Source organism: Homo sapiens, chromosome 10, assembly GCF_000001405.40.
Source record: "Homo sapiens chromosome 10, GRCh38.p14 Primary Assembly".
Taxonomy (NCBI): domain Eukaryota; kingdom Metazoa; phylum Chordata; class Mammalia; order Primates; family Hominidae; genus Homo; species Homo sapiens.
The window spans coordinates 62,162,577-62,175,691 of NC_000010.11; the positions used below are offsets into that span (position 1 = coordinate 62,162,577).

The window sequence follows — 13,115 nt, forward strand, 5'->3', positions numbered from 1 at the left end:
AATACAGAAATGGGGAAGATTTTTCTAATTCCCACCAAGGTTATCTGAAGGCAAGGGCCACAGGAGAATGCTCTGAGGGGCAAGAGAAAGACACACTTACAAATTCCCCCAAAAGAATTTAAGAGAAGCTGCTCCTTCTGCACTCCCCCATGCCCTCCTGCCACTACCACCGGCTTTCTCTCTTTCCCCTCTCCTGTAGGCTCTATTAGGGGTGGAGGAGAATGAGACATCAGAGGAGAATGTATTCACTTTGCATATTGACGTGCCTTCCAAAACAATAATTATAACCAAAATAATGACTGCCATTTATTGAATGCTTACTTTGTGCCAGGTTAAAAAAAAGAATTCTCTTAACAGCTGGCATCAGGATTCTTCATAGGAAGGGAACTATGTTTGGGGAATCCCTTGAATAAGCCCTCTTAGGGACTGATTCTAACAATTATTCAGAAGATGAGTTAGAAAAGCAAGAAAATCCGGGGAAAAATTATGACAAATAACAGCCAATAACTTTATAAATGCCTGCTGTGTGGTAGGCACTGTTTTAAGCACTTTACATACAGAAATGCATTAAATCCTCACAATCACATTATTATTATCCCCATCTCAAAGATGGGACAACTGAGGTACAGAATGACTAAGCAAATTGTCTCAGTTCAAGTAAGTGGTAAACTGTCCCCTGGCCCCGGAGTCCAATGCTCTTATCTACTATGTAGTATCTAAGGTCTTAATAACAACTGTGCTGTGCTATGCTAGGATTTTAAAAAACCAAACAATAGTAATTAAACCAGTGTTATGCCTTTTCATCATACAGTAAGGAAATAGGAGAGAGACCAAAAGTAGACCCACATGTAGAAAATTAGCATATGATAATTAGGCATTTCAAATCAGTAGCAAAAATGAAAATAAATTTCTACTTTACACCTAAACTGAATTATATTCCAGATGGATCGAATGTATATAAATGTAAATGTATCAAAAATCTTAAGTACTAGGAGAAAATATTGGAATATTTTTGTAATTTTGGCATTTCCTTCTAGGCAGATGATGCCTGGAATTTTTATTTAAAAAAGAAGATTAGTATCTTTTTCTACATAAATATGAAAAATTGAAAAAACACTTTAATCTAAGCTGTAAGACAAATAATACTCTGAAAAAATATTGCAAATATATGATAAACAAAAAGACCAAACCTGATATATATATATATATAACATTTATTTAGTTTTGAGAAAGGGTCTCGCTTTTTCGCCCATGCTTGAGTGCAGTGGCATGATCTCGGCTCATTGCAACCTCCACCTCCCGGGTTCAAGCTATTCTCCTACCGCAGCCTCCCAAGTAGCTGGGATTACAGGCTTGTACCACCAAACCCAGCTAATTTTTGTATTTTTAATAGAGACGGGGTTTCACTGTGTTTGTCAGGCTGGTCTCGAACTCCTGACCTCAAATGATCCGCCCACCTTGGCCTCCCAAAGGGCTGGGATTACAGGCGTGAGCCACCATGCCTAGCCCTCATAATATATTTTTGAAATTTCTGTAAATTAACAAAAATGCCAAACTACCAATTAGAATAAGAAAAGAGATACAAATATGCAATTCACAGAAAAATAAATGCAAATGGAAATGAACAAATAAATCACTGCACAATCACACTCAAAGCCAAAGGTGTACAAATTAAAAAACAACGGCTAAAAAAATTAAACTCATAGAGATAGGAGTAGAAACATGGTTGCCAGAGACTAGGAAGGGTGGGACTCGGTAGGGATAAAGAGGGGATGGTTAATGGTATTAACCCAGCCTGGGCAACAGCGCGAGACTCCATCTCAAAAAAAAGAAAAATACAGTTAGATAGAATGAATAAGATATAGTATTCAATAGCACCATAGGGTGACTATAGTTAAGAATAATTTATTGTATATTTTAAAATGAGTAAAACAGTGGAATTGGAATGTTCCTAACACAAAGAAATGATACATGCCTAAGGTGATGGATACCCTAATTACCCTGATTTTTTGATCATTACGCATTGTATGCCTGTATCAAAACATGACATGTACCCCACAAATATGTACAACTATGTATCTATAACACTTCAAAAAATAGGGAATATCACATTTAAAGAAGAAATTAGCAAATATTAAAATGTTTGAAAAAATGTCAAGTGAGAAAACTCAAGATATTATTGGCATATGGATGGTAGTGTAAACGTTAAGCTTTTTGGGAGAGAACTCTGGCAGTAGCTATTCTAACAGCAAATGCATATTCCATTTGTTCTAGAAATTACAGGGGGAGTTATCATGTCCCCAATATTCAAGAACCTAGAACGAGTACACATTTCCCCGCTGGGTCAATTCTGCATGTCAGTCTGGTATTCAGACTCCACCATAACACAGGCCCACCTACTCGTTCAGTGCAACTTCCCCACACCAACCTGTCACCCCAAGCCTGTCAGGTCCCAAACAGCACACCTCCCACCCCCAGGCCTTTGCTCATGCTGTTTCATCTTCTCGAAGGACCTTCCCTCCTTGCTTTTCACGTCTCCCTACCTGCTTCAAGGCCCAGCCCAAGCTCCATCTCCACCAGGATGCCAGGTCCTTAGCACAGTCCCTGATATTAAGTAAGGACTCAATAAACGCAATATTTTGTTACTTTAATATTACTAACACTTACACATTTACTCTCTCAGGTTGCTCCCTAATTCTTTGGGGTATGTTTTCTTTACAATTAGGTTGAAAGTTTCTTGAAGACAAGAAATACTTTGGGCTTTCCATGTAAAGACAGTATAGTTTCCAGAGCTTTAACATCACACAGACCTTGGTTGTCCCTCGATCTGCCTTTTTCTTTCCTTTTTTTTTTTTTTTTTTTTGAGACGGAGTCTCGCTCTGTTGCCCAGGCTGGAGTGCAGTGGCGCGACCTCCGCTCACTGCAAGCTCCGCCTCCCAGGTTCACGCCATTCTCCTGTCTCAGCCTCCGGAGTAGCTGGGACTACAGGCGCCCGCCACCACGCCCGGCTAATTTTTTGTATTTTTAGTAAAGACGGGGGTTTCACCATATTAGCCAGGATGGTCTCGATCTCCTGACCTCGTGATCCGCCCGCCTTGGCCTCCCAAAGTGCTGGGATTACAGGCGTGAGCAACCATGCCGGGCCTGATATGCCTTTTTCTACTGATGGTTAGTTATTTCACCTGTAGGCACTAGCCCATAATACCTGCTAAATGCATTGTTACTAGGATGATTACAGCCGTTTACCTGCTCTCTGTATCATGGTTCCCCAGTCCCATCAATGCCAAAATAGAATCAAACTCATGGAAAGTATTCAGCAAACTCTTATTGGAAGTTGATCAGCTAGAGGTCCAAATTGTCACGCATTCTATCAAATACGCTTTAAATGACATTTTGTGTGTGTGGTGCACGTGTGTGTGTGTTTTCACTCATTCATTCATTCATTCATTCATTCATTTAACTAAGAAGAACTCTTCTTTGCCTTTAAGTGGGCTAGTGACTATTCTCAGTTTAGAACTAGCCAAAGAATCAATCTTGACCCAGTTGCTAGGAAACCCTGTCTTTGGAAAGAAGTTAAGAATCAATTTCCCCATGCTTTAAAGAACATGTATTTAAGTAAATTACTTCCTCAGAAATATTGATTCATTCCAAAAGCATTTAAATAATATGAAAAACAAGAGGGTTTTTATGTGGAAGCTGTATCTTGACAGTAAAGTAGATGTGCACTTAAGAAAATATATTTACACAGATAATCTACATCTTGTTCAAGAGAGAAAATAGACTTTAATGTAGTAATAGGACTATTTATGTAATGAACTCTCATGGGCTCTTGCATAAATCATGATTCCTGGGTTGTGTGAATGTTTTTATGTGCCTTTGTGAACTTTCATAAGACTTTGGTTATGTGATTATATCAAAGGCTGAATTTATATTAGCAAATGAAGCATTGTGAAGACATGAAGACATTTTCTAATGGAAACATCATAACCAGAAGCACATTTTCCCAAAAGATGTGTTTTGAAAAATGCTAAATCATTTTAATGGTCTCAATGTCTTGCAAAGGATTCTCTTGGTCAGCAGCTGGCTTCACATGCAATCTCGGACATCAGCAAGCCCTGCTCCAAAGAGGGATGCCAGCCAGCCTGTGAAATGTTTCTGCAAGAACTTTTGGCTGCCTTAACCGCCTAAAGCAAATGTTTGTTTGCTGCAGTACGAGAATCAAATGCTTTTGTGTGAAAACACTTGCTAGAGAAACAAATGTTTGTTTTGGTAATCGACATTTGGACTGTTGGAACATTACCACTTAAGATATTGGTTTGAGAAATATACATTTAATTTGGAAAGCACCAGTCAGGATCAAGCATGTAACACAAATCTAGGCTGTAAGGAAATGAGGTTGAAATTGGACCCAACATTTTCACTTCCCCTTGTCAGTTCTGACTAAGAAAATGGTTCCTTGATTTACATATTGCCTTATAATGTTACTGAGCAGCAGCATAAAAGAAAAAAAACTGATTTACTTCCTTCTGGAAGAGTATGACTTATAAATTATCAAAGAGAGCAGCAAGAGTGTATTTATCTAGTATTAATATTTAAATGCCATTTTCCTATTGAATGTACCACATGCTCCATATTAGTCTTTTAGATTAGACTTAGTACAAATTGATGTTTCCTAAATGGAAGATTTCTCCTTACAGTTCACTTTTGATTATCCATGCTAACTGGCAGGAGGAAAGGTACAGACACTCCAAAACAGCAGGAGATACAGAAATAAGCTTTGGCTTCTGAAAGCATTAAATTTTTTAGTAGCAAAAAGAAACTAATTACATTTTAAGGGAGAGAGATACAAGGAAGTTTGTGTGGCAAGAGTGTCATTTATACATTAAACATATTATATTTGGTCGTAGATAATCCATAATTAGGAAGTCAAAATATACTATACTGATGTCGAGGCTGATTGCTAGAGCAAAAAGGATTTTAATTTAAAAGTTTCTTTTTTTCTATACATTTTAAACTATATTTTTTGCTTGATGAAAGCCAGAAGCATATGTAAATGCATCTGATTTTTTTTTACCATTATGTTTGAGTTTTTCTCTTTCGTGAAAATAAATTGAGGATCTAGGTTCACCTGAAAATGTATGAGCTGAAACCTATAATCAAATCAATACATAAATAATAATACAATACAATTATAGCTTGAATTCTTTGTTGCTGGCCTTAGCCCTATTTGGTCTTTAGCTTAAAAGAGACTATATTTTGAAATGGAAAAGAGAGATCAGTTCAAAATAGCCAAATGTAAGAATTATTCATTAGAACATCGAGAAACATGACTTTGTATCCTGAATCCACCCACTACTGTTTCCATTTGTAAATTTCATTATTCTGTTAAAAAAGATAAGTGATATAATGCATGTATATTTGAAGTAGTACTTTGAACTCCCCAGAACTTAATAATTCAAAGTATTACAGTAAATTCTCATTTATTCTGAATCCAAACTACCAGAAAGCTGAAATAATGAGAATTTTTTGTACAATTTATAAAATGGTAATGTCCCTGGAGCATTACAAGATTCTAAATTCCTTTGAACAGTCACAGAAAGATTAAATTTTGTTCAGCATAATTTTCTGGTAAGAATGTTTGATAGAGTTCTAATTCTTTGAAGATAGTAATTAATCCATGTGTAGCCTATGGTAATTCTTTTTTAACTTCAATATAAAAATAGTATCTTTGCATTTCCAGAAAACCTTGGTCTTGTATTTCTAGCTGATAAGACCCTAAAATGTATGGCACATCATAAACCTTACAAAGGTTGAGAACAGATCACATATGTCCTACCTTACCATATTTTAGTTTATTTTTATGTTTTTTAGAGATAGGGTCATGCTCTGTTGCCCAGGCTGAAGCGCAGTGGCATGATAGCTCACTGCAGCCGCGACTGCCCGGGATCAAAGGATCCTCCTACCTCAGCTTCCCAAGTAGCTGAGATTAGAGATGAGTGCCACCAAGCCAGGCTATTTTTTTTTTTTCTGCTATGTGGCCAAGTCCGGTCTTAAACTCCTAGACTTAAGCGATCCTCCTGGCATGGTCTCCCAAAGGTCTGCGATTACGGGTGTGAGCAACGGCAGCAGGCAGGCAGGTGGTACCTAACTATAAGTGATTCAATGTGGTTGCAAGTAAAAGAAACCCACTCAAACTGGCTAAAGGAAAAGATAATATTTAGTAACGTGACACTGGGCTCTTTTATAGAACTCAAGCCCATCTTCAGGCATAAACTAGAACCAAAGAATGGAGATCTGGGAAACCCTAGAAATTTGTGCTTTTCTGTCTGTCTCTCATCTTTTCCCCTCTTCGTGTATCTGCTTTATTCTCTTCACAGTCTTCAAACCAACTTCCCCTCTTGTTCTCTCCACTACGTGGGAAGTTGGACCCTTTATGTAATTTACATCATACACTATGGGGTCAGGCTTTAGATAGACATTAACACGCTTTTGACCCTACTTGAATTGTAAGGGGAGAGTAAGATAGGCCCTGCTGGGGTCAAAATCCACACCCCATACCGCTACCCATTAACCCTTCTATCCCTCAATACACTGATCCAGGGAGGAGAGGAAGGATGATAGCCTAGGTAAAACAATAACCTAGGCTATCCTCCAATATCCTTCATGGATAGAGGGAGAAAGAGCAGTTATCAGAGAAAAGGAATCAGTGTGAGCTGAGAATCTACCAACAGTTCTCACACTTGTTTTTCTCGGAATCCCTTTATAGTCTTAAAAATTACTGAGGACCCTGAAAAGCATGGGGTTATAGTTACCAACATTTACCATATTAGAAATTAAAACTGAGAAATTTAAAACCATTTAATTTTAATCCATTAAAAATAATAAACCCATGATGTTAATACTGAGATAATTTTTTATTTTTTGAGATGGGGTCTCGCTCTGTCACCCAGTCTGGAGTGCAGTGGCGCGATCTCAGCTCATTGCAACACCAGGGTTCAAGCGATTCTCCTGCCTCAGCCTCCTGAGTAGCTGGGACTACAGGCACGCGCCACCATGTCTGGCTAATTTTTTGTATTTTTAGTAGAGACGGAGTTTCACCATGTTAGCCAGGATGGTCTTGACCTCCTGACCTCATGATCCGCCCACCTCGGCCTCCCAAATGCTGGGATTACAGGCGTGAGCCACTGCGCCTGGCTTGATATAAATTTTATTTAAAATAAATATATTTGGCTGGGTGTGATGGCTTATGCCTATAATCCCAGCACTTTGGGAGGCCGAGGTGGGTGGATCACCTAAGGTTAGGAGTTCGAGACCAACATGGCCAACATGGTGAAACCCTGTCTCTACTAAAAATACAAAAATTAGCAGGGTGTGGTGGTGCATGCCTGTAATCTCAGCTGCTTGGGAGGCTGAGGCAAGAGAATCACTTGAACCTAGGAGGCGGAGGTTGCAGTGAGCCTAGATCTTGCCACTGCACTCTAGAATGGGCAACAGAGCAAGACTCCGTTTCAGGAAAAAAATAAAAATAAAATATATATATATATATATATATATATATATATATATATATAATAAACATAAATATTTTCCAAAATAAAAAGAAATTAGTGAGAAAAGTAGCACTGTTTTACAGTTTTGCAAGTTTCTTTAATGAGTGGCTTGATAAGAAATAGCTGTACTCTCATATCTGCTTTTGCATTTACTCTGTTGTGATATGTTATTTTGGCTGAATATATTTAGAAAACTGGTTTTACACAGATATGCATTTGGGAAAGGGAGGAGTATTTTAGTAGCCTTTTCATATAATCATAGATATTCTTTTTTGTTACTATACCAAAGTCTGACAAATAATAGTTGTAATACAGAATCTGAGATCATATCAACTAACATTTTGTACTCTGTTACAGTAGTATCCATTGGTTTATCTTGCACTTTTATTCAGGCATGATCATGCACTGGCCATTTGGAAAATATTGGCTGACTGAGTTATAGAGATTTTCCAAATGTTGATACATTTTATTATGCGACGTAAAAAATCATATTTTCTAATATCACTATCAATTTATCAGAAGAGTTTTTAAGTATTAGGAAGCTGTCACATTCATGGTGACAGATACAAGTTTTCTAAAGTTCTAATTTTCACTTGAAAGAATACATTTTAGCATTGGCAACAAATACTGTCAATTTTATGTCTTATGACAGGCTGACTTCATTCATTTTTTAAAAAATGTCTGCCAAATATCCAAGTATAAATAGCCATAAGTTGTCTGTCAGTTGCACCTTCAAGTAAAAGTAAGTTTCTATTTTTTTTTTTAAAGGAGGTTAGTTGCGCTCACAACTCAGGCAACCACACAAGTGCTTCTCCTTGAAACAATTGTTCTTTGGTATGCAGAAGAAATACTTATGCATACTTCCTCTTTCACCACACAGAATATTAAAAACATGTAATCAAGGGTTACTGTTCAATAAAATTAATGATTTTTAACTGTTCCATCAAGGATATTAAATAAAACTGTCTTTTTCTTTCCCTTTGAGTGCACTTCAGTGAAGAATATGACTACTAATATAGCCTTGGCGTTTCTGCTAAGGCACCAAAAGTTTTATCCAATATAGCCTTTTTATCATCAGTGCAAATGTCAACATAATGAAGAATGCAAGTGACTTTTTTTTTTTTTTTGATACGGAGTCTCGCTCTGTCGCCCAGGTTGGGGTGCAGTGCCGCGATCTCCACTCACCGCAAGCTCCGCCTCCCGGGTTCACACCACTCTCCTGCCTCAGACTCCTGAGTAGCTGGGACTACAGGTGCCTGCCACCATGCCCGGATAATTTTTTGTATTTTTTAGTAGAGACGGGGTTTCAGCGTGTTAGCCAGGATGGTCTCGATCTCCTGACCTCGTGATCCACCCGCCTCGGCCTCCCAATCTTTTTAGTGCTTTTATAAAAATAGTTTTGCCCTCTCAGATCATCCAAAGGTGTCAGAGACACACCCCTTACCTGCCCCTACCACCAGAGATTTGTGGACCACGCTTTGATAACCACTGTTATATGCCAACCTGCTAAACATGGATTCACATTAACTGAAATCACTGAGCAATTTAGAGCAATTTATTATTTTGGTATATTATCTTCTTGACAAAAAAAGGAAATATACATCCATATTAAGTGGGAAAACATCACATTTTAAAAACGATAAATTATAACTTTTTAGTAATCAGTTCTAGGGGAGAATTAAAACACTCAGACTGGTAAAGTTGGTTAAAAAAAAAGCAAACAAACGAAAACAACCCTCAGAGCTGGTGGAGTTCAATGTTATACCCAGTGGAAGACTATTTAGAACAATAAATGCCGTGGTTTCTGTTTGATGGATTACTTTGCAGGAACTGAGAGGGCCATGCAATGAGCCATGTGGTATGGCAATTTTCCAAATCACATAAAATTAAAAATGCAAGGAAATCCTTAATGCTTAAGTTACCACAAACAGGTTTGTGAATTAAAACAATAACAATAAAAGCAATAACACAAAACTAAATTTTCAGAGGAGGCAGTTACCACATATAGTACTGATTTGTCATCACCAGTATAAACTTACTAACACTCAGAGATCCAGGGCTAAGGAAAGAGGAGTTTAATCCAAACTCAACCATTTACTAGCTGTGTAACCACGAGCAAGTGTCAGTATACCTGTTAGGTCTCAGTTTTCACATGTGTAAGATAGGAGTAACAGTCCATCCTCGTAGTATTGTTATATTACATGACCTGATGTATTTAAAGTGTTGAAAAGTACGTGGTACAGAGTAGACAGTAAAAATGTTCCTGTGAAAGTTTTAGGAGGTAGGTAGTAACACAATAGAGAAACCGCAAAGCTTATCTAACAAGATGGCCTTTACTGTACACCCTAAAGAAACCACTAAAACAACAGAGTTGGATCTTAAAAAGGCAATAAGGGTGATACATGAAATAATTTTAAAAGCCTAGTTAATCCAGAAAAAGGCAGAAAAAGAAGAACAATGAACTGATGGGACAAATAGAAAACAGCAAGATGATAGATTTAAACCTAATCACATCAATAATCACATTAAACATAAATGATCTAAACAGCTCAATTAAAAAGCAGAGACTGTCATATTAAAAAACAAGACCTTAGCTGTATAATGCCTACAAAAAACTTGCATTAAATACAAAGAACAAATGGGGTTAAATGTAAAAGGATGAAAAGAGATAACCATGGTATTACATGGAAAAGAAAGAAAAAGAAAGCTGGAGAGGCTATGTTAGTATCAGAGGAAGTAGTTCAGAGCAAAGAATAGTGCCAGGGAGAAAGAAGGTCATTTCATGATGATGAAGAGATTGGTCCATCAGGAGAACATAAAAATCCTAAATACTAATGAACTAGTAACAGATTTTCAAAAGACATTAAGTAAAAACAGATAGAACTGCAAGGAAAAATAAATCTATAATTCGAGGTGATTTTAATGCCTCTCTCTCAATAATAAACAGGTAGATAAAATTCAGTAGGTATATAGAAGACTTGAACAACACAATCTGTCAACTGAATTTAATTGATACTTAAAGAACACTCCACCTAATAACAGCAAATTAGACATTTTTTTCAAGTGCACATGAAATATTTACAAGGACAACCACGTTCTGGGCCATAAAACAGATCTGAATATTTTGAAAAGAATTCAAGCCACAGATAGTATGTTTTCTAACACAACAGTATTAAATTAGAAATCAATACCGGGAAGATCTTTAGAAAATCTACAAATATTTAGAAATTAAATAACACTCTTCTAAATAACTCATGATAAAAGAAGGGATGAAAGAAATTTTTCTTGATTTGCATTTCTCTGATGGCCAGTGATGATGAGCATTTTTCATGTGTCTTTTGGCTTCATAAATGTCTTCTTTTGAGAAGTGTCTGTTCATATGCTTTGCCCACTTTTTGATGGGGTTGTTTGTTTCTTGTAAATTTGTTTGAGTTCATTGTAGATTCTGGATATTAGCCCTTTGTCAGATGAGTAGATTGCAAAAATTTTCTCCCATTCTGTAGGTTGCCTGTTCACTCTGATGGTAGTTTCTTTTGCTGTGCAGAAGCTCTTTAGTTTAATTAGATCCCATTTGTCAATTTTGGCTTTTGTTGCCATTGCTTAACCCAAATGTCCAACAATGATAGACTGCATTAAGAAAATGTGGCACATATACACCATGGAATACTATGCAGCCATACAAAATGATGAGTTCATGTCCTTTGTAGGGACATGGATGAAGCTGGAAACCATCATTCTCAGCAAACTATCGCAAGGACAAAAAAACCAAACACCGCATGTTCTCACTCATAGGTGGGAATTGAACAATAAGAACACATGGACACAGGAAGGGGAACATCACACACTGGGGCCTGTTTTGGGGTGGGGTGAGCGGGGAGGGATAGCATTAGGAGATATACCTAATGTTAAATGACGAGTTAATGGGTGCAGCTCATCAACATGGCACATGTATACATATGTAACAAACCTGCACGTTGTGCACATGTACTCTAAAACTTAAAGTATAATGAAAAAAAAAAAGAAATTGGTTTTTTTTTTTTCACCATGGAGTGTCGCTCTGATGCCAGGCTGAAGTGCAGTGGCACAATCTCGGCTCACTGCCACCTCCGCCTCCTGGGTTCAAGTGATTCTCCTGCCTCAGCCTCCCAAGTAGCTAGGACTACAGGCTTGTGCCACCATGCCAAGCTAATTTTTGTATTTTTAGTAGAGACGGAGTTTCACCATGTTGGCCAGGATGGTCTCAATGTCTTGACCTCGTGATCTGCCCACCTAAGCCTCCTAAAGTGCTGGGATTGCCACCACGCCTGGCCGAAAGGAAAATTTAAAAGTGTTTTGAGGATACGTGCGGTGGCTCACGCCTGTAATCCCAGCACTTTAGGAGGCTGAGGTGAGTGGATCACTTGAGGTCAGGAGTTCAAGGCCAGCCTGGTCGACATGATGACTCCCCACCTCTACTAAAAATACAAAAATTAGCTGGGCGTGGTGGCATGTGCCTGTAATTCCAGCTACTCAGGAGGCCGAGGCAGGAGAATCGCTTGACCCTGGGAGGCAGAGGTTGCAGTGAGCCGAGATTGTGCCACTGCACTCCAGCCTGCGTGACAGAGTGAGATTCCATCTCAAAAAAACAAACAAAAAAACCCCAAAATGTGTTTTGAATGGAATAAAAATGAAAACACAGAGGAATAAAATTCGTAGGATGATGCTAAAGTTGAACACAGGAGAGAACTGATGCACTAAGTGCCTGTAGTAGGTAAGAAGAGCAGTCTCAAATCAGCTTCCATCTTAAAAAACTAGAAAACATAAAACAAATGAAATCCAATGTATACAGAAGAGAAAGCATAGAAAGCAAGTAGAAATCTGCGAACTTGAAAACAAAGAAATAAAGAAAGTTGATAAAATCAAAACTGATATTTTAGATCAATAAAATTAATAAACCTCTAGCCAGAATAGTCAGGAAAAAAATGAGAAGAAATTACCAATATAAGGATAGAGAGGTGACACTACAATAGTGTCTACAGATATTAAAAAGGTAATAAAGGAATATTACAAACAATGTTATGCTAGTAAATTTGAAAACCCAGAAGAGATGTATAAATTCCTTGGAAGATACAAACGGCTAAAGATTTCTCAAGAATAAATAGATAAACTAAATAGCTCTACACCTATTAAAGGAATTAAATTTTTTGTTTAAACTTTCAAAGAAAGAAAAATTCAGGCCCAGATGGCTTTACTAATGAATGCTATCAAACATTTAAAGAGAAAATAATACCAAGTTTAGGCAAGCTCTTCCAGGAAATTGAAGAGGATGAAATATTTTGCAACTCATTCTTTGAGGTCAGCATTAGCCTGATTCTGAAATCTGACAAAAACATACAAGAAAAGAAACTACAAACTCAAATCCCTCGTGAACATGTAAGCAAAAACGCTGAATAAAATTTTAGCAAATTGATTGTACCAATATATAGAAAGGATAATGATGAAGTGGTCATTTATCCCATGAATATAAGTTTAACTTTTTAAAATCACCATATATAAGTCACCAATGTAATTCACTACATTAGCAAA

At 37.4% G+C, this 13,115-nt stretch overlaps 1 annotated feature.

Annotated features, from left to right (window-relative positions):
- Positions 4,131–4,260: an enhancer, noted in NCBI's record as "active region_3415". NCBI's record gives its function as "activates an Ori minimal core promoter by ATAC-STARR-seq in GM12878 lymphoblastoid cells {active_cell/tissue: GM12878}" and the evidence as "EXISTENCE:reporter gene assay evidence [ECO:0000049][PMID:35858748]".